The sequence below is a fragment of the Homo sapiens genome, chromosome 4 (assembly GCF_000001405.40).
Source record: "Homo sapiens chromosome 4, GRCh38.p14 Primary Assembly".
NCBI classification, from domain to species: Eukaryota; Metazoa; Chordata; class Mammalia; order Primates; family Hominidae; genus Homo; species Homo sapiens.
In genome coordinates, this window is record NC_000004.12 from 161,032,752 (window position 1) to 161,056,575 (window position 23,824).

Below are 23,824 nucleotides of genomic sequence, written 5' to 3' on the forward strand. Positions count from 1 at the left end.
CATTGTATAATTTTACAATGGGAAGATATATATGGAAATTCAAGGTTTCAAAAGTAATAAGAACTTCAAAACAAAGGAATATAGAGATATCTTGATGGTGGAGTGTTTGAAAGATTCTTTCTATGACTGATTTATGTTATAGAAAGCAACGTTTTTACAGTCTTGATGAATTAAAAGTGCATATCAAAATGCTAGGTCATTTTTCCTGAGAAACATTATAATTCTATGCATATATATTTGGATATAAAGAAGTATAAGGACAAGAAAACCTAAGGTTATAAAATAAAAATCCATAAGAATAGGTATTTAGCCTATCATATCTACCCTGTATCCATAGTTCCTATGGCAGCATTTGTCAAACAGCAAGTCTAAAATATTTTACGAATAAATGAGTGAATAGAAGCTTTCATTTGCACACTCCATTGTAGGTAGTCTATAATTAATTATATCTAATGTAGTTATGTAACTGAAGAGCTTAAAATGCCAGACTTGAGTATAAAATAAAAATAATCATTAAGACAATATTACATATTTAATTGAAGTTACTAGAATATGGACAACTTATTTAAATGCAGAATCAAACACAACTTTTTTGAAATAAGGTCATTCATGTAGCTTAATTCTACTAAGAGATTTATTTTCTATATTTGATGTCATTCAATAGCGCAGAGAATCAATGTTAGTAGTAGTTAATATTACTTGAATGACATTTTTCATACTCACAGGAAAATTACTCTGAGTTTCAACTTTTCTGACAGTGGATAAATATAATAAATAACTACACACTCATTCCTACTAAAATAGACTACTATTTTATTGATTATATTATTTTCTCACATTGTTGTCTGGATATATAGTAAAATAAAGTATTTTTACCAGGCTATGAAAAATGCAAAACGTGTATAGGTTGGCTTGACCAGATTGAGCTTCAACAGGGAATCAAGCAGAGGGCAAATTCTTTAACAATATTGCTTTGCATGCTCTCTTCAGGGCAGAACATCTCTTTATTCCATCTCTCTGGTTTTCAGTGGGGAATGGGAAAGCTCAAATGGTATTTTGAGAGTTGTTAGCATTATCCAAGGAGGGTGAGAAGGGAGAAGCAAGATGCTAAGGAAGAAGACATTGATTAAATGAGTTTCCAGAGTTTCCATGGCTTACATTATAAAATAAAACCTACTTTGTCGAGTGTTCAAACTTTCCTCAATCTTGTATCACCATCATTTTTATGTATGTATTTCCATAGGTAGCACTTAGAGCTCAGTTTTGCTTTTACCCTGTTATTGCTTTTACTAATATTACAATGCACTATAAAGAATATTTTCCTATTCCTTTCAGCTTCAAATGAAATACTATTCAACATTAAGGCTGTGACCTCTCTGACCATTTTCTCCATAAAGAAAACTTTTTATATGCCCCGTGTTGTCTTTTTTATATACTATTGGAGATATTTACTCTAATTTGATAGATTGTATGCTTACTTTCCTGTTTTCATCTTCCATATACGATTACTATTTAATGATAAGGTGGGAAAATCTTAACAGGACTACCAGCTGAAGAGACAAGACACAGGAGATTGTATAAATAATTCTGGAGCATGTAAAGTAATGAAAGAAAAAGGCAGATAGAACAATAGTAAAATAAAGGGAGAGATTCAACTCTCTTTGCTGAAATCAAAGTTATAAAATTAAGTCTTTATTTAATATTGAATATTGTACTTTTATATAATATGATTTTTTTACTATTAAATGGTGGAAGTTATACATGTAATAAAACAGACATGTCACTTGCATTATTGGTAATTGTTAGTATTATAATGAAATCTGTTAATTGCTGTATTTAAGAACATACATTATTCATAAATTATTGATGTGGCCTTCTTAACAGATACATATATGAAAATGCAGAGTTTATGTAAATCCATAAAAGTTATTTCCCTGGATGACTGTTAATATTTTCATTATTGTGGATTGTGGTTTGTACATATTTTGCAAAGTACACCACTGCTTTACAAATAATTTATATGCAAATTTAATATGACTATAGTTTGTGACTTAATATTTGGTAGAAATCACCTTTTATTTTTATCATTATTATTGTCATTATTTATTGCAATTAAGGGAAACTTGATGTATTATTAATACTCCATGACAAGATTAATTTTGATATCTTAAATGTTAACTTCAATATTTATTCTCTTTTATACTCTGTTCTTTTTTAGCTTATCCAAAATCATGAGGAGTGATTCCTAAAAAAAAAAACACTTTTTATTCAAATAATTTTGTTTCTCAGTATTACATACAAAATATATCCTCTTCATTTATGTATATCTGTAAATATGTGGAGGCTCTTAAATAGCATTTGCCATGGCACATAGGAAGAAAGATTGTGAGACAGAAATATAAATTATGATTTGCGTACAAGCAAGGGAAATTATGATTCTGGCTATCTTACCAAATTAGTTATTATTATAAACCTATTAAAAGCTCTGAAATTGAATGATAAGGCTGAAAAATTAGATTTGAAAATTACATAAAATTGAGGCAGCTCAGGAGGGTAGGAAGAAACAACTACATAACAGGAGCTGTGTGTTTAACCTATTGTACTAGCAAAAATGATTCCTATCATCCTCTCAAGATCATCGTCGAGTATCTGGTTGAATGTGCCTTTGCCTTGGCTGTACCAGGAGCATGAGAAGAAGCACCATAGAATGTCTCCAAGAAACCTTTTGTTTTCCATGGAGAGAGGGTAGGTAGCTGGATTCATATTTCTCCAAATCTACTCCAAATATACATAGTATATAGTATATATACTATGTTGGATTCCTCAAAATGAATTTAGGCTGCTGATAAAAAGGTGGAATGGGACTTTTGGTTCCAAATGGCAATGTGGAACCAAGCTGGCTTCACTCACCCCCACAGAAAACCAAAACCAAGAATACAGTTCCAAGATTATCACCAGCAGTATCCCTGAACTCAAATATGAAGTGGACGTAGTTCTTGGGGCCATAGAAAGGGGGAAAAAAAAGCAGAAGGTAGAAGAATTGGACTACCACGTCCAAAACACTCCTTCTCCAAAACTGCTCAGCATCAAGCTCAGGAAAACTTCCTTCCCAACTCATGGTTCCTACAATGAAAAGAGTGAGATTGAGACAGACAACCAGCCTCTCCATCATCGTCAATTCCCTGGCAGGAGACAGATCAATTGGAAACAATAATAACTATAGCAACCTGTTCAGAGTAGGCATTATAAAAATATGTAAATTGAGACAACATAAAACAAAATGTATGGGACATGATGTTGAAATGCACAGGTTTTTTTTCATTGTTTCTTTTTTTTCATTGTTTTTTTATTCTTTGTTTCTATTCTTTGTTTTAAGTTGTGATCTCTTTAAAATAAGTCATTACATCTATAAGATGTTTTTTCCTAAGCCTCATGGAAATCACATTGCAAAAACCTGTAGCATGTATTTTTTTTAAAACAGTAACAAATTAAACATTCTACCAGGGAAAATCACTTAACTACAAAGGAAGACAGTAAGAATGAAAGAAAGGAAGAGAGTGAGAATGAAAGAAAGGAAGAGGAGTTATAAAACAACCCAAAAAACAAACAACATGGTACTCCTTACTTATCAATAAGAAAATTGAATGTTAATAGACGCAGTTTTCCAATTAACAGACACAGAGTGGCTGAATGTATAAAGCAGCAAGACCCAACTACATGCTGGCTACAGGAAAACCACTTTACCTGTAAAGACACACATCCGAGAAAGTGAAAAAAAAAAAAAAAAGGAAAAAATATTCCCAGCAAATGGAAAACAAAAAAGAGCAAGACTAGCTATACTTACATCAGATAAAATAAAAATGTGTCAAAGACTGAAAAAAGTACAAAGAAAGTCACTATATCATGACAAAAGGGACAATTCAGCAAGGATATATAAAAATTATGCATATTTCTGCATTGAATATCAGAGCAACCAAGTATATAAAGCAAACACTTTTATATATATATAACATTATATATATATATATTATTTGAAAATGTGTAGTGCATCCTCTTTCACTCTCTTCCTCCAGCTCTGACCACGTAAGACATGCCTGCTGTCTATTATATATATAATATATATATACAATTATATATTATGTCTATTATATATATATTATATTGTGTCTAATATATATATATATATATATATATATATATATATATATATATATATATATATATATATATATATGGATAGACTGCATACTATAATAATAGGGAATTTTAACAGCCCACTCTCAGTAATGAACATACCATCCAGGCAGAAAATCAAGAAGGAAACATTGGTGTTAAACTACACACTAGCCCACATAGGCCTAAATGACATTTACAGAATATTTTACCCAACTGCTACAGAATACTATTTCTCTTCATCAGCGAAGAAAACATTCTCCAGAATAGAACATATATTAGGCCACAAAACAAGTCTCAATTTCAAATCTTTTTCTGGTCACCGTGAAATAAAACTAGAAATCAATAATACGAACCCCGGAAAGTGCATAACCACATGGAAATTAAATAACATGCTCCTGAAAAACCAATAAGTCAGTGAAGAAATTAAGAAGGACATTTAGAGCTTTTATTGAATAATGAAAGTAAAAATCCAACATATCAAAATCTATGGGATACAGCAAAAGCAGTAGTAAGAGAGATGTTATAATAATAAACACATATCTGAAAAAAGTAAAAAGACTTTAAATTAAAAAGCTAATGATGTACCTCAGGAAGTAGAAAAGTAAAACCAACAAAACCAAACCCCAAATTAGTAGAACAAAAGTCATAATAAACATCAAAGAGATATAAATAAAATTGAAACTAAAAAAAGATGGAAAAAATCAATGAGATGAAACATTGATTTTTTGAAAAGATAATCAAAATTGACAAAACTTTAGCAATACTACCTTGTATTAGTCCATTCTTGCACTGTTATAAAGGACTACCTGAGACTGGGCAATTAATAAAGAAAATAAGTTTAATTGGCTCACAGTTCTGCAGACTCTACAGTCTTCTTCTTCTGGGGAGGCCTCAGGAAACTTAAAATCATGGCAGAAGGCAAAGGGGCAGCAGGCATGTCTTACGTGGTCAGAGCTGGAGAAATAGAGTGAAGGAGGATGCGCTACACACTTTCAAACAACCAGATATTTAAGAATTCACTCACTGTCTTGAGAACAGCAAGGGGGAAATCCACCCCCATGATCAAATTACCTCCCATTAGACCCCTGCTCCAACATTGGGGATTACAATTCAACATGAGATTTGGGTGAGGACACGAATGCAAACCATATCACTAGCTAAGATTAAAAAACAGATAAGAGCCATAAAAATAAAATCAAAAACAAAACAGCAGGCATAACAACTAATGTCACAGAAATATAAAGACTCATTAGACACTATTATAAACAATGATATTCCAACAAATTGGAAAACACAGAAGAAATGGATAAAATTTTGGACATATACAACTCACTAAGATTGAACCTTTAAAAAATAGGAAACCTCAACACACTAACAGTTACTAATGAGATCAAAACCATATTTAAATGTCTTCCATCAAAGAAATGCCAAGCACCTGATGCCTTCATTCCTGAAATAATATCAAATCTATTCAAGCTCTTGAAAAATTTTAAAGAGAGAATACTTACAAACTAATTCTATAAGGCCAACATTACCATGATGCCAAAACCAGACAAGGACACAACAACAGAAAAAGAAATCTACAGGCCATCACTACTGATTAACATAGATGCAAAAACTCTCAACATGATACTAGCAAACCAAATTGAATAACACCTTAAAAAGATTATTTACCATGATCTAATGGAATTTGTCCCAGGGATGCAAGGATGGTTTAACATATGCAAATTAATAAAAGTGATACATTATGTTAAGAGAATAAAGAATAAAAGACATGATAATTTCAATAGATGCTTAAAAAGCATTTGGTTATATTTAATATCCCTTTATGATAAAAATTCTCAAAAAATTGTGTATAGAAAGCATGTACCTCAAAATAATAAAGGTTGTATATGACAAACCCAAAGCTAACATCACACAACATGGAGAAAAATTGAAGTCCTTTCCTCTAAGATCTGGAATAAGATAAGGATGCCCACTTTCACCACTTATATTAAACAGAATCCTAGAAGTCCTGGCCAGGGCAATTAAGAAAGAAAATGAATGAAGGGCATCTAAATTGGAAAAGAAGATGTCAAATTAGCATTGTTCACAGATGACATAATCTTATATTTGGAAAAACCTAAAGACTTAAAAAAAAACTGTTGGAATGAAGCCAGTGATGTTGCAAGATACAAAAGCAGCACAGTAAAATCAGTAGGATATATAAATGCTAACAGTGAACTACCTGCAAAAGAACTCGAAAGTAGTCCATTTACAATAGCTACAAAGAATAAAAATACATAGGAATAAATTTAACCAAATAAGTGAAGGATATATAAAAGGAAAACTATAAAACAGTGAGGAAAGAAACTGAAGATGACACAAAAAATGGAAAAATACTTCATGCTCATGATTGGAGGAATTAATATTGTTAAAATAACAATACTAAAGCGGCTACATTGTCTGGGGTTAGTACCTGGGGTTTGTCATCACGTGCTAGGAAAACTTAGAACATGGACACACATGAGGAGTTTAGGAGCAGAGGTTTAATACGCAAAAGAAAAAGGAAGAAAGGAAAATGAAAACAGCTCTCTCTGTAGTTAGAGAGTGGGAACTGCTGATGGGAAGATGGGCCGACAGCAGATGCACTGGATTTTACAGTCAGGCTTGAGGAGGTGGTGTCTGATTTACACAGGGCTCACAGATTGGTTAAATCAGGTATGACGTTTATATAGTTTGCAGGGAAGGCTGGCTGCCCCAGCTTAATCTTATAATCCAAATGAGCCTTCCAGTTGACTAGTGTCATCTTCTCTGCTCCTTACTGTACGTATGGCTGACAAAGAAATGGGAAGATGGAGCTGCCATCTTGAACATGATTGGCACAACTGTCATCATCTATGTCTGCAACTCTATTTTACAGGCTGCTCTTTGTTAGAAAGGAAAACCATTTGGGGCTGCTTTTTATTAAAAGGAAAACCTTACTGAGGACTTCCGGACCCTCACTATCTACCTAAGTAACTTCTTAACTCTTGTATCAATACTACCCAAAGCAATTTATCAATCCAACGCAATCCTTATCAAAATACCAATGACATTATTCACAGAAATAGAAAAAAATCATGAAATTTATATGAACCCATAAAAGGCAGACACTGAATACCCAAAGCAATCCTGAGCAAAAAGAACAAAGCTGAAGGCATTACACTATCAGACTTCAAAATAAAATACAAAACTATAATAATAAAATCAGCATGGTGTTGGCATAACAATAGACACATAGACCAATAAAGCAAAATAGAAAAACTAGATGTTAACTCACATATTTACAATCAATTCATTTTCAGCAAAAACACCAAGAACCTACAATGGAAAAAGGATAGTTTCATCAATAAATGGTGCTGGGAAAACCTCATAACCATATGCAGAAGAATGAAACTAAACCTTTATCTCTCACCATATATAAACATCAAATGAAAATGGAGTAAAGACATAAATCTAAGACCTGTATCTATGAAAGTATCAGAAGAAAACTTTGAAACTTCGGGGAAATGCTTCTGATCATAGGTCTGGGCAAAGGCATTTTGTGCAAGACCTCTAAAGCATAGACAACCAAGGCAAAATCAGACTAATGGAATTATATCAAGTTTTATAAGCTTCTGCACAACAAAGGAAACAATTAACAAAGTGAAGAGGCAACCCACAGAATAGGAGAAAATATTTTTAAACAAGGGATTAATAACCAGAATATATGAATCTTAAACAACTCAATAGCAAAAAATACAAATAATCTGATTAAAAATTGGCAAATGATCTGAATAGACATTTCTCAAAAGAAGACATACAAATGGCTAACAGGTATGTGGAAAAATGCTGAACATCACTAATCACCAGGTAAATGCAAATCAAAACCACAATTGCATAGCATCTCACCTCAATTAAGATGGCTTTTACCAAAACAACAGGGAATAAGGAATGCTGGCAAGAATGTAGAGAAAGAGGAACATTCATACACTGTTAATGAGAATGTAAATTAGTACAGCCACTATGGCATACAATATAGAGGTTTCTCAGAAAGCTAAACATAGACTCACCATATGATCCAGAAATTACACTTCTGAGTGTATGTATCCAAAAGAAAAAAAATCAATATATCAAAGTAATATCTGCACTGCCAGGTTTATTGCAGCACAATTTGCAATAGCCAAAACCTGAAATCAAGCTAATTGTTCATCAACAGATAAATTAATAAAGATTATGTGGCCTATATATACAAATATATATATAAAATAGAATATTATTCAACCATAAAAAAGAATGAAATTCTGTCATTTGCACCAACATTGATAAAACTGGAGGTCATTATGTTAAGTGAAATAAGCCAAGCACAGAAAGACAAATATTGCATGTTTTCACTTATTTTACAGAGGTAAAAAATGAATCTCAGGAAGACAGAGAATAGTTTGGTGGCTACCAGAGGCCAGGAAGGGTTGGGGGAGGAAAAGTGAAGACAGGTTGATTAATGGGTACAAATACATAGCTTGATAGAAGAAACAGGACCTGGTGTTTCATAGATCAATAGGGTGACTAGAGTTTACAATAATTTATTATATATTGCAAAATAGCTATAAGAGCATAATTTAAATGTTTCCAGTGTAAAGAAATGAGAAATATTTAAGGTGATGTATATCCCATTTGCCCTGATTTGATTTGTACAAATTATATGAATGTATTAAATTATCACAAATAGTCCCCAAAATGTGTACATATATTATGTGTCAATAAAAAATAAAATCTTAAAAATTAAAAAAAGGATGCATGAGACATGAGATCATTAAAAACAAAGATTATAGTAGGTGAGATTTTTATATATATTATCTATTTCACCTTTACATGCTATTATCCTAGTTGGTATTTTTAGTGTTCTCAACCTAAGCATATTATTTAAAATTAAAGATTAATGCTAATTTAGAAATTCATTGAGGAAAGAAAAGAAATTGCTAGTAGTTAGTTGATTATCCAGAAGCTTCTTATTTTCTAGATCTTAATGTAAATGTAGTTGGTTTAAACAGGTGAAACTTTCATGCATTATTCCTCCTTCAAGTTACTATTTTCATGTAATCCTCTTTCCTTTTGCAATACAATGCATATTTTATAGATATATCATTTATTTATGAATAGCTTTCTGTTTTTATTCCCCATGAAATTCATATTTTGAAAAGTATTTTCAACCAACTTTTCTGAACAGCAAATGATTCAAGTTTTATCACATAAATTAATATCAATCCAGAGAAAAGTTAAAAAAAAATAAAAACCATATTTAAACTGTACAGATTTGTGGTAGGAAAAGATAATGTATATACTAAGGTTTTATGGTTGTTAATATTAAAAAGAGTAAATATACCTTCCTCAAAAATATTCTGAGGTTAAAAAAAAAAACAAAGCAACCCACAGTTTAGGTACTAACAGGCTAAGTACTTTCTTAGCACTACATTAGGAAATTTCATGATCCCATTTGTGTCTGTTAGTATTTGTCTCTCCTCACTCCCCCCTCCAACTTTCTGCCCTATCGGGGGAAATTCAGGCCCCTATATTTCTTCGTAGGTCCTTTTCTATTTTTCCCTAAGTGTCGGCTGGTCTGAGAAATAAAAGGAAAGAGTAAAAAAGGGAGAAATTTTAAAGCTGGGTGTCCAGGGGAGACATCACATGTCGGCAGGTTCTGTGATGCCCCAGAAGCCGCAAAAACAGCAAATTGTTATTAGTGATTTTCAAAAAGAGTGGGAGTGTATGAATAGGGTGTGGGTCACAGAGATCACATGCTTCACAAGGTAGTAAAATATCACAAGGCAAATGGAGGCAGGGTGAGATCACAGGACCCGGGCAAAATTAAAATTGCTAATGAAGTTTTGGGAACGCATTGTCATTGATAACATTTTATCAGGAGACAGGGTTTGAGAGCAGACAATTGGTCTGACCAAAATTTATTAGGCGGGAATTTCCTCATCCTAATAAGCCTGGGAGCGCTACGGGAAACCGGGGCTTATTTCATCCCTTATCTACAACTGTAAAAGACAGATGTTCCCAAAGCGGCCATTTTAGAGACCTTCCCTTAGGAACACATTCTCTTTCTCAGGGATGTTCCTTGCTGAGAAAAAGAATTCAGGGATATTTCTCCTATTTGCTTTTGAAAGAAGAGAAATACGGCTCTGTTCCACCCAGCCCACAAGCAGCCAGTCTTTAAGGTTATCTCCCTTGTTCCCTGAACATCGCTGTTATCCTGTTCTTTTTTCAAGGTGCCCAGAATTTATATTGTTTAAACAATTTGTGCAGTTAATGCAATCATCACAGGGTCCTGAGGTGACATTCATCCTCAGCTTACGAAGATGATGGGATTAAGAGATTAAAGTAAACACAGGCATAGGAAATCACGTAAGTATTGATTGGGGAAGTGATGTGTCCATGAAATCTTCACAATTTATGTTCAGAGATTGCAGTAAAGACAGGTGCAAGAAATTATAAAAGTATTAATTTGGAGAACTAATAAATGTCCATGAAATCTTCACAATTTATGTTCTTCTGCTGTGGCTTCAGCCAGTCCCTGTGTCTGGGGTCCCTGACTTCCCTCAACACTGCCCTACTATATAAGTGAAGGAATATGCTTAAAATAAATATTCTGGCAGGCTTATTATGTTTATAATATTACATAGAAGACTATTCTACATTTATATACTTTAGTCAATCACCTGCCTTCCCATTTTCATGTCTGTGCACTTCTATAGGCCCACTTTGGAGTAAATCTCCAAGCTGATCGACACAATTATCTGATTTTTAACCCCAAAATTATATTCTACGTATTGGCTTCTGAGTTCATTGAGTTCACTAACATTTGATCTTCTTAGACCTCACATCCATCTGCAACATTTACACTAATTAGTACAATAGTGGGCTTTGGAGCCCAATGATGCTTCTTTCACACCTAACTCTACCAGTGACCTCACTTGCCTGTTCATCAGATTCCCTAGGAGCTTCTTAAGAGTACATATTTTTATGATTCCAACCATATGACACTCTGGAAAAGGAGAAACTGTGGAGATAGTGAAAAGATCAGTGGTTTCAGGGGTTCAGCAAAAGAAAAGAGTGGAGTACAGGGGAATTTTAGGACAGTAAAACTATTCTGTTTGATCTTGTAATGGCGGTATCATTGGACATATTTGACTAATTTGTCAAAACCCATTGAAGTATATAGTATAAGGAGTGAACCCTAATGCAAATGATGGACTTTGATTATTAAATTGTATCAATGTTGGCTCATCAATTGTAACAAATAGAACACACCTCATCTTAGCCATGGAATGTTAATAACAGGATAATAGGAGAATAGAGTGGAGAGGAAGAGGATAGATGGAAACTTGGTCCGTTCAACTCAATTTTCCTGTAAACCTAAAACTGCTCTAGAAAAATAAAATCCATCAATGTTTTGGTTTTTAAATACATGATCTAGGGCCATGACTAGAATCTGTATATTAATAAGCTCTATGAAATAATTCTGATTTCTGGGCCCAGGCAGATAGATGTTTTATAAGGTGTTCTGACTTGTGTTTTGCTGTAAAATTTGAAGTTATAATATCTAGATATTTGATATTGTAAAGAATCAGCAATTTTCAATTTGATGATAAAATAAGTTGAATGGTCAAAATATTTTACTTATCATCTTTGTTCACCTCACTCTTATTCCACATGATAGTCAAAAGAGATTTCTCCAGACAATTGCTCACACTCCAATTCCCAGAATGAGAGCCAGATCTTTCAGTTCACATTCTTCTTCTTCTTTTTTTTAAATGCCTTTTCACTCCTAAAAATGCCTGTTTTCAGCAAAGAAAACTTTTCTTAACAATGGAATGCCATAATTATAGTTTTGTCTAGTCCCTCATCCAAAATAATATTATAAAATTATCAATAACTATTTCTGGATGCTGGTTATTCTGTCACAATCTTAAAAAATATACATTAAAAATGATAAATATTTAAGAATAGGAATGTTTGTAAATAAATTTAAAAAGGTTTGTATCAGTCATTATATAAAGACACTAACTATAAAAATTTTGAGACTAGAGAATTTTAATAAGTAAAAATAATACAGTCTAATATGTAAACAAGACAGATTTTTTTCCCCTTGATCAGTCCCAAACCTTGTTCTATTATTATTATAGACACATTTCTCTCCTATAATTGACATCGTATCTTAAACAGTTTTTCACAAGATCACAAGATCAAATGCATTCTTTTATAAATATTTGTTTACCATATGACTGACTTAGCCACTGAATGTCAAAACTAAATAGTGATCAATTGTAATAATCTATAAGCAGAAAGTATTTTGTGTTCTTGAATCACTTTTCCAATTTAAAAACTGAATGGGTAATGAGTTTTTAAAAAATAAGTTCTGGCACTGTACATACATAATAAATGAGGCTACTACTTTTCAAAACTGTAGCTCTCAAGAAATCGTGTGCAATGTCATGGCACTGTTATATATTCTTGATTAGTCAAAAAGAGGAAAAGGTTTAGATTTTTTTAAACAGCCTTTGGTTACCCTGGAACATTTACATTCTGATGTCTTTACAAGTGTTAGTTTCAAATGCAGATGTTGGTGTCAATCATTAGAGAATGTCTATAGGACATCTGGTAAGGCTATCAATAATAATATATGCCTATGCCAGTAAAAAGAAGAACAGGCAGCACTGTTTCTCATATTGCAGATGAAAAGGGAGCCGTAAGTCAAGAAATAGCTTTTCAAATGAACAGCAAGCCCCTATTATTTGATTTTAAAGTTACCATCTTGGAGACAGTTATTCTTAAATAGTTAAGATTTTCTGAAATATTAGAGTTCTCAAAATATGGCATTATATTTATTGTGTGTCATTTATGCCATGGTTATTTTATGTAGAATTACTTCTTGAAAATTCTTTTTTTTACTATTATCAAGTCATCCCAGAAAAATAAGCCCCTCCTTTTTCCTCATCAGAATCACTTTATGCTGTAATGATTTATTTATTCATATGGGTTTAGGCATTGAGAGGAAAAGACAGGCAGACATAGATTATGGCATGGAGAAATGTATATTGGAAGAAATATTGTGGGTTAAGTAATTAAAACTTGACCTCTGTTCTTCTGGTCTTTCAAAATCAGTCTGAAGTGTTAAACTTCAGTGACTTGTTTTTGTTTTTTTTTTAAATCCAAAATGTCTAAATGTACTAAAGACATTTCTGAGAGAAGAATACACCTCTGCTTCCTTCTTTGTTCTTTCTTTCAATCAGGCTTATAAGTGACTTCAGAGGAGCCCTAGCCTGGAGCCAACTGTTGTTTGTATGCTGTGGGAAGGAGAGTATAGCTGTATTCACACCAGACCCAATACATATATTCCACAGGCAAAATCATTACCAGAATTTTACAGTTTTATATTAAAAGGTACAAAGAACTGCCAGCAAGTTTCTAATTGGCTGAATAAGTGCATGTGGTTTTCCCCTTCAAAGTCACATAGCCCACGCATTCTTTGACATCCCAATAATACTTAGCACAAATGTAGAAAGAGGGTACTTATTGTTTCCCCTCAACATAAATATATATATTCTTTACCATCTTATGCTAATATAATGGTTAGACTAATGTAGTCTATCACTTTATATTAATAGTAAATATTGCTATTCATTCTCCATTTTGTGTGAAATACTGTGATGAAATGCTGAATACAAATACTGTGCGTATTCACAAGGAAAGAAATCCCAGTAGTAATGATTAACCCATCCTACCTCACCCACCGCTTTACCCACTGCTCTGATTTTCTACTGTGTAACTTTTCCAATATATGGAAAGGACATAAATCCATTTCTATTAAATATAATGGGAAAAATCAAGGCAAATAAAAACAAATATCTTTGTGTTTATAAAGATTATTTGCTGCCTGGTCACATATGGGGTTTATTGATTCAGTCCAAGGCTGGACTGCTATATTTGCTGTGAATATCTGCTGGCAAAATTTTCTCGCCTCATTATTTTGTGATATTATGCATTCTCAGCAGCACATTTATATTCAGCATGTGAGGTACCCGCCATGCTTCCATATATACCCTTTTGTACCTATACTTCTTTATTACTTGTTTAATAAAACCATCGCAGAAACAAGCAGAGCAGACAAAATAAACAAGAGTTCTTCATAAAAATGACTTGCAAATTCAATACATAGTTATACCTGCTGGCAATATGACTCTATTCACATATGCACCTGTGTTTCTTAAAAGGTGGTGGGTCTGCAGTTAAAGTGGGCTTAATTACAAAAGGAATATGAGAATATTAGGAAACCCACCACAAAAGCCCTCTAGAATCAAAATCAGTATGTTCGTTTATGGTGTCAGATTACTTTAGTAGAATGAACAGATCTGGGTGAAACATTAAAATAATTAACTTGGATAAACTTCTGATCTGTAGAATAAGGTGTAAAATATGTACAAGGCAATGTAATATAATAAGAAATGCATCTGTCATTTTATTATTAGTACTGATGCTAGAAAATATAGCTGAAAATTTTTAAGCGAGTTAGTTACTAGTGAATTTCTGAAATAAAAGTCATAAAACAAACATCATTTTATTAGTCTATTCTCATGCTGCTATGAAGAAATGCCTGAGAAAAGAGGTTTAATTGACTCAGTTCTGCATGGCTGGGGAGGCCTCCGGAAACTTGAAATCATGGCAGAAGGCAACTCTTCACAGGGCAGCAGGAGAGAGAATGAGCAAAAGGGGAAAAGGCCCTTATAAAACCATCAGATCTTGTGAGAACTCACTATCACAAGAACAGCATGAGAGTAACTTCCCCCATGATTAAATTACCTCTCATATGGTAATACCCACATGGGGATTATGGGAACTACAATTCAAGATGAGATTTCAGTGGGGACGCAGCTAAACCACATCATTAAACCCCAGTGAAACTATCATTGGGCCTCTCCCAAATCTCATGTCCTCACATTTCAAAACACAATCATGCCCTTCAAACAGTCTTCCAAAGTTTTAACTCATTCCAGCATTAACTCAAATGTCCAAGTCCAAAGTCTGATCTGAGACAAGGCAAGTCCCTTCCGCCTATGAGCCTGTAAAATTAAAAGCAAGTAGGTTACTTCCTAGAAACAATGTGGACACAGGCTTTGGGTAAATATACCTCTTCCAAATGGGAGAAATTGTCCAAAACAAGGGACTACAGGCCCCGTGCAAGTCCAAAATCCAATAGGGCATTTATTAAGCTTTAATGTTCCAAAATGATTTCCTTTCACTACATGTCTCACATACAGGTCATGCTGATACAAGAGGTATCTTCCCATGGTCTTGGGCAGCTCCACCCCTGTGACTTTGCAGGGTACAGCCTCCCTCCCAGCTTCTTTCACAAGTTGGCATTGAATATCTGTGGCTTTTCCAGGTGCACAGTGTAAGCTGTTAGTGGATCTACCAATATGGGGTCTGAAGGACGGTAGCCCTCTTCTCATGGCTACACTACACAATGCCCCAGTGGGGACTCTGTGTGGGGTCTCCAACTCCACATTTCCCTTCTACACTTCCCTAGCAGAAGTTCTCCATGAGGGCTCTGGCCATGCAGCAAACTTCTGCCTGGACATCTAGGTTTTTCCATACATCCTCTGAAGTCTAAACGGAGGTTCCCAAATCTCAATTCTTGACTTCTGTACATCCACAGGCCCAACAGCATGTGTAAGCCACCAAAGCTTGGGCCTTGCACCCTCTGAAGCAGTGGTCTGAGCTGTATGTTGGCCCCCATTAGCCACAGCTGGAGCTGAAGCATCTGGGACTCAGGGTACCATGTCCAGAGGCTGCATAGAGCACAGGGGCCCTGGGACCCATAGAGTACAGGGGCCCTGGGACCCACCGACAAAACCATTTTTTCCTCCTAGTCTTCTGGACCTGTTATGGGAAGGGCTGCTGTGAAGGTCTCTGACAAGCCCTAAAGACATTTTCCCCATTATCTTGGTGAGTAACATTTGGCTCCTTGTTACTTATGCAAATTTCTGCAGCAGGCTTCTCCCCAGAAAATGGGTTTTTCTTTTCTATTATGTCATCAAGCTGCAAATTTTTCAAACTTTTATGTTCTGCTTCCTCTTGAACGCTTTGCCACTTGGAAATTTCTTTCACCAGATACCCTAAATCATCTCTCTCAAGTTCAAAGTTCCACAGATCTCTAAGGCAGGGGTAAAATGCTGCCAGTCTCTGCATAGCAAGAGTGACCTTACTCCAGTTCCCAACAAGTTCCTCATCTGTATCTGAGACCACTTCATTCTGGACTTCACTACTCATAACACTATTAGCATTTTGGTCAAAGCCGTTCAACAAGTCTCTAGGAAATTCCAAACTTCCCCACATTTTCCTGCCTTATTCTGAGCTCTCCAAACTCTTCCAACCTCTGCCTGTTTCTCAGTTGTAAGGTCGCTTCCACATCTTTGGGTATCTTTATAGCACCACCCCACTCTCTGCGATACTAATATCTGTATGAGTCAGGGTTCCCTAGAGGGACAGGACTAACAGTGAAACCATCTTTGCAAAATTATGACTGAGACAGTGAAAGAGATCTAGCTTAACCGACTCCATCTCGTTTCTAACCTCCAAGCTGTCCTTGTTCATTGCTAGGCATAGGCTGAACTAACTTTGAGAGAAACTTAGTTTATAGTTTGTAGTTTAAACAAAGCCGATACACAATCCTTTAACAAGGCAGACCTCCTTCTTGCCTGGGGACTAGATTACCTTTGTAGGACTAACAACATTAGCCACAAAGTTAGTAATTATGGTTTAGGAGTCATGCAGCTGGAGGCTATAAGATTCTGACCTTCCCTAAATTACTCCTAAATTAGTGCTTGAGATATTTTGCAGACTCTGCACTTGACGGATGAGCTGGCACCACCCAGACTGATAAACTAGCTCATCTGATCTTGTGGCCTCCACCGGGCAACTGACTCAGCACAAGAAGACAGCTTTGACTCCCTGTGATTTCACCCTAACCAATCAGCACTCCTGGATCACTGGCTTTCCCCACATCCACCATATTGTCCTTAAAAAGTCTGCTCCTCAAATGCTCAGAGAGACTGATTTGAGTAATAATAAAACTATGGTCTCCTGCACAGCTGGCTCTGTGTGAATTACTTTTTCTCTATTGCAATTCCTCTGTACTGAGAAACCAGCTCTGTCTAGGCAGTGGGCAAGGTAAGCCCCTTGGGCAGTTACAATAGGATATAGATATATATATATATATATATATATATATATATATATATATATATATATATATATATATATGAAGGGAGTTTATTAAGGATTATTGACCCACACAATCACAAGGTGAAGTCCCACAGTAGGCTGTATGCAAGCTGAGGAGCAATGAATCCAATCCAAGTCCCCAGATCTCAAAAGTAGGGAAGCCAAAAAGTGCACCCTTCAGTCTGTGGCTGAAGACCAGAGAGACCCTGGTAAATCACTAGTGTAAGTCCAAGATTCCAAAAGCTGAAGAACATGGAGTCTGATGTTCGAGGGCAGAAAGTATCCAGCATGGGAGAAAGATGAAGGACGGAAGACTCAGCAAGTCTACTCATTCCAATTTCTTATGCCTGCTTTATTCTAGCCTCGCTGGTAGTTGATTAGATGGTGCTCACCCAGATTGAGGTGGGTCTGCCTCTCCCTGTCCACTGACTCAAATGTTAAGCTCCTTTGGCAACACTGTCAAAGACACACCTAGGAACAATAATTTGCACCTTTCAATCCAATCAAGTTGACACTCAATATTAACCATCACAATCATGAAATCCTGGCTACACCTCAGGGATGTAACACCTAACGATATTAGTGATACTTAACACATTTTCATGGGACATGGGAGAAAAGTGGAATGTCATTATGTCAAGTGCAAGTCCAGATGAGCTGTTCATGAAGAATCTATGGAAATGGCTTACAAATATTATGGGTGGGTAAAGATGTTACAGGAAGAAAATAGCAATTACATTATGTAAAGCAATTCTGTGCTATAATTTAAAGTTGCTTGCAGTTCGGTATTTCCCAGAGAAGTTTTTAATTAGGAAATATAAAAACACATCTCAGAGAATGATTTTAAAATCTTCCATCCTCCAAAATGAAAAATGGAAGATATATTTCTTCAATATTGCCAATTTATCTGAGATTAGATTATTATTTGAAAACATAAAATGTTTAGATATTTTATGAGTAATAAACAATAAACAAATGTCTACTGCTCTACACAGTAGATTACCCCATTTCCCCTTTATTTCAAGGTTAGGGGACTAAAGGATATATCACAGAAACAAGGAGCTTTCTCATGGATATACAAGAATGGAGTAAGTTTAAAATAACTTCATGGAAAATTGAAAGATTAGTTGACAAACCAAGCTAAGAGATGTAAAGAATGATTGACAACAACAGTGATGCTCAGTTGAGAATGAAAAGCACAATTTTTATGTAATGATATGAATGTACATGTTTATGTGTTATTATCTCCAAGTAATCAGCAATCCTTATTCATGTTATAATATCCAAACTCATACATTTTAAATAATCCTCCAAAATGTTTTTATAATTTGTCAAAGAAACAAGATGGATCATAGAAGCAGTTGAATTTACAATTTTGCTACTCAGAAAAAAAGAAATATCAGATGTATACTATCCACCCACTCCTTTGCAGAGATTTTTTTTTTTTTACAAAAACTTGTTTTTAATAGGTTAAACATATTATGGTGTCTGTGTAAGTAGTTGTAAGCTCACGTTTAAATGTAAATAATTACTTGGAATTTTATATGACATATCACACTTCTGAAACTTGCAACAGTGTACAACCAAGTTTGGGAAGAGAAGGAAGGCACCTGGTGATTCCCAATTGGTGAATGGAAAAGCAAGGCTTCCAAAAATTATATTCAGCCATGTAAGGCCATATAACGCTATGGTTAAGAATATGCAGACTCTAGCCAGACTGCCTCGAGTAACTGCAATACCATCTTTACTTGGTCAGGTCACTTAGGCATGTTTCACGCTGCAATATTCTCATCTGTGAAAGAGAAATTATGACAATACCCATTCAACGTGTTTTATGAACATTAAATGAGTTAGCCTGATCAGTCATTTAACAAATATTACATAACTGCTGTCCAAAATGTTTATTAAATCTTTTGTCTCCTAACAGAACACAAAATATATAAACACCACCACTTGGCAATAATAACACTGCTTTTATTGCTATTGAAAAGAACTGTGATTTTGTTGCCAATATATGCCTCTCTCTCTCTCTCTCTCTCTCTCTCTCTCTATATATATATATATATATATACACACACACATATATATACACACACACACATATATATATATATATATATACCTATACATAAACACCATAATATAGCCACCAGTTCAGAAGTCGGATTTCTGTAGGTATTTGGGTGGTTTCTCATTCTTGACAGAGTGGTTGCCATCATGATCTTCGACAATTATTTTCCCTGTTTGACTTAGTTTACTCATCTATAAAATGGAAATAATAATAGGCTCCATCTCATTGGGTTTTTGTAAAGATTAATTAATTAATGTAAAGCACTTATAAATACATAACACTGTAAGTTATTGCAGTTGTTATCAAAACAGTTAATTTAAAGGCACAAATGAATCAGAAGGTATATTAGTCTATTTGTGTTGCTTTCTATAAAGGAATACCTGAGACTTGGAAATTTATAAAGAAAAGAGGTTAATTTCACTATGTTTCTGCAGGCTGTACAAGCATAGCACCAGCATCTGCTTGGTTTTACTCATGGCAGAAGGTGAAGGGGGAGCAGGCGTGTCACACGGCGAGAAAGGGAGCAAGGAGGGGAGGTGCCAGGCTGTTTAAACAATTAGCTTTTGTATGAACTCATTAACCTGGGGAAGGCACCAAGCTTTTCATCAGGGATCTGCCTCCATGACCCAAACACCTCCCCCTAGGTCCCACCTTCAATACTGGGGGCCACATTTCAACATGAGATTTGTTGAGGACAAATATCCAAACGGTATCAGAGGGAAAGGGTTATTTTCTGATGTTTCCACTTTCTGTTATTTACTACCAATGTCAATAAAAGAATGATTGTTATGAACTTGCCTATTACCATGCAGTACATTCGGAAATGGTGTTTATGAGATAAATTTGTGGCATTTACCCCAGTAATATCTACATTTACATAGATTTGATGGCAGGTGATATGAATTAGTAAACTTTGGTGTGCATATTCCTTTTTCATATTCAGCATCTTCCAAGTTTTGAGTGAAATCTGGTAAATGTATCATGGCAGCGACTGGTGGCCGCCTTCTTTACAGCTGAGGTACTGCATCCAACACAGTCCTTTCCAAACAGTTCCCATGGGAAATTTGCAATAGGAGTTTCTGGAAATCTTTGTTAGAAAGAAATAACTTTCAAGGAGAGTTCTCTCCCTTTTTCTTTTTGCCCTGGGAATTAACTGGCCGTCATCATGGGAGATCATGTTGCTTAGGGTAGCAGAAGTCAGCATTAGGTCTTGGAGAGAAAGCCAAGAAGACCTCAGAGAAACTGACACACAAAATTATCATCGTGGTTCTGTTGAATTACCTAATCCTGAACCATTTGCTTCATATTGTTTGTCTGTAATTAAAATTATTTTTTAAAAAATCTTATTTTACCAGTTACTTACTTTTATTCATATATTCTGTTACTTGTTTTGAAAATATTGTCACTGGCAAATGCACTGTTCATGTACTCTGGTTTAGTCTGAGTTTTTAGTTTTGATGTCAAGATCCTCTCACAGACCAAAAAAAAAAGATGTTTCTTTTGCATAGGCAATTGGAAGAAATGGGAGGTACACAAGGACACAATTAACTGTGTTTATTTCTTTAGGAAGAAGAAAGAAGCGGGAAGAAGAGCGGGTAGAGGAAGGCAAAAGGGAAGGAGAGGGGAGAGAATGATACCACCCCGATAAGTGTCTAACGAGATGGTAAGTACTTAATTTAACTTTAGTGAATCTTTAGCGCATTCACTTTCCCAGAAATCATCATTCTGGTTCAGTGAATATTAGTCACCTGCTGTGAAATAAAGAAGATAATTTAGTTCTTCATCTTTGAATGATTTCAAGGTATAATTTCATATAAAGACAAAGACCCAAAGCCATTTTTAAAGTAAGGCAATTCATAAATTTCTTTTGAAGGTCAGTTATAAACATAGAGTAAAACCTCATTAATTTAAATAATTGAAGGAGAAGCTTTTTGTTGTGTCAGTCTGGAAATTAGGTTTGCAAAATGTAGCCTGTTATAATTCCTCCTGGACCTACTCTAATAAATAAATATGAATAATGCAATTATCACATTGTTTGTATGTAAATGAATGCTGCAAAAGCATGTAAAAGTGCTTCAACAAGTTCAATATTTTGTGGTTTTTGCTTTGTTTTGCTTCCCCTGGCACTGCTGAGACATAGCTTTTAAAATTTGAACAAGTTACATGAAATCTCTTGAGCTTAGTTTATTCATCGTTAAAATGCAGGCTAGGCACGGTGGCTCACATCCGTAATCCCAGAAATTTGGGAGGTCGAGGTGGGCAGATCACAAGAGGCCAGGAGTTCGAGACCAGCCTAGCCAACATGGTGAAACCTCGTCTCTACTAAAAATACAAAATTACCCAGGCGTGGTGGCCTATACCTGTAATCCCAGCTGCTTGGGAAGTGGAGGCAGGAGAATCGTTTGAATCCAGGAGGCGGAGTTTCCAGTGAGCCGAGATCCTGCCACTGCACTCCAACCTGCGAGTCTCCAGCCGGATTCTGTCTGTCTCTGTGTCTAAAATAAAATAAAATAGTAAAAATAAAATGGAATGACATGTAACGGTTTCTAAACTCCATTGCACATCTACCCAATTTGGTCTGTGATTTACTACATTGAAAACTTTAAATTACTTGGAGATAAATATCTGGTTCCTTGTTTCTTGACGTACTTCTCTCTCTCTTTCCCTCTCTAAGGAAAACAAATAACAAATACCTGGGTTATCTAGCTGCCTAGCATGATGTACTCTGCTCATGGCATACATACACAGCAGCTGAACTGTTTGCTTACCTGAGCCTCCTAGTCAAGAAAGGCAGATTTAGATTTATGTTATTCTTGTATTTTGTATGTGAGTGTAAATACACATTTTAAAAAATATTACCATTCCCAGATTGTGTTTATGTATCACTATTCACCCAGTGCTTAACATAATGCCTAGCAATAGATGTTCAACATGTATTTCTTGAATGAATGAATGAATATGAAGTGAAATGAGAATAGTGTCAGTATAAATTACATCCAATAAGACGATGAGACTGAGAGATGAGATGGAGATTTCAATTTCCCATCTATACATTTTAAAAAGAGAAAATGAGAAGCAGAGCTAAAATTTTAAGTGATATTACCAAGGTTATATCAAAAGAAACTACCAAATTAGGATTAAAACACTAGTCCCCCAATTTCAGCACTATTTCGTATGTTTAATTTTATTGTAAAATGTCAGACATGTAGATAAGCACATAATGCATTTTCAGTAAAAGGAATAATTATGAAAGAAATTCCTTTGGAATTATCAAATAAGTCAAGAAATGGAATATTGTCAGCAACCCAGAAGCCACTCAAATGGCCTTTCTCATTGACAACCCTCTAATTGTCTACAAGAAGTAATCATTATTCTAACATTTTTGGCAATCTCTTTCATGTCTTTATTATCGTTTTACCAAGTCTCAATGTATCCTTAAACAGCATAGATTTTTTTTCTAGAATTCAGTGATATATGAATAGATAGCAAACACCGTATATATTATTTTGTGTCTGGCTTCTTTCACTTAATGTTATATTAGCTAGCTACGCAAGTTGTTTGCAGCTCTCATCGTACTTTTTACTTGCTATGCATTATTCTATTTATTATTGCACCACGAATAATTTATTATTTCAACTCTTGATAGAAACATGGATATTTACTGGATTGGGGAAATTTTAGACAATGCTGTTATATTCTTCACATGCCTTTTGGCGCACATATGCATGCATTTTTAGGGCATAAAGTTAGAAATGGAATTGCTGGCACATGAGTTATTTCTATAACCAACCTTACTAGATGACCAGAGAGCATCCAGCTATTTTCTAAAGTGGCTATACCAATTTAAACTGCTAACAGCAATGTTTCCATTGCTCCACATTATCACCAAAATAGTTTTATAAGACATTTTAATGTTTTTCCTTTTTTTTTTTTTGAGGTGGAGTTTTGCTCTGTGCCCAGGTTGCAGTGCGGTGACACAATCTTGGCTCACTGCAACCTCCGCCTCCCTGGTTCAAGTGGTTCTCCTGCCTCAGCCTCCCAAGTAGCTGTGTTTATAGGCACCTGCCACCATGCCTGGCTAATTTTTGTATATTTTATTTTATTTTATTTTATTTGTTGAGACAGAGAGTCGCTCTTTCACCCAGACTGGAGTGTAGTGGCTCACTGCAACCTCTGCCTCCTAAATTAGAGTGATTCTCCTGCCTCAGCCTCCCAAGTAGCTGGGATTACAGGTATGTGCCATGACTCCCAGCTAATTTTTTTTGTACTTTTAGTACAAATGGGGTTTCA

General features: G+C 34.9%; 2 annotated features.

Moving 5' to 3' along the window:
• Positions 610-779: an enhancer, noted in NCBI's record as "experimental_75188 CRE fragment used in MPRA reporter constructs". NCBI's record gives its function as "activates a minimal promoter by MPRAs in K562 erythroleukemia cells, with activity observed for the non-introgressed 4:161954598 variant allele {active_cell/tissue: K562}" and the evidence as "EXISTENCE:reporter gene assay evidence [ECO:0000049][PMID:34662402]".
• Positions 1,350-1,519: an enhancer, noted in NCBI's record as "experimental_75194 CRE fragment used in MPRA reporter constructs". NCBI's record gives its function as "activates a minimal promoter by MPRAs in K562 erythroleukemia cells, with activity observed for both the introgressed and non-introgressed 4:161955338 variant alleles {active_cell/tissue: K562}" and the evidence as "EXISTENCE:reporter gene assay evidence [ECO:0000049][PMID:34662402]".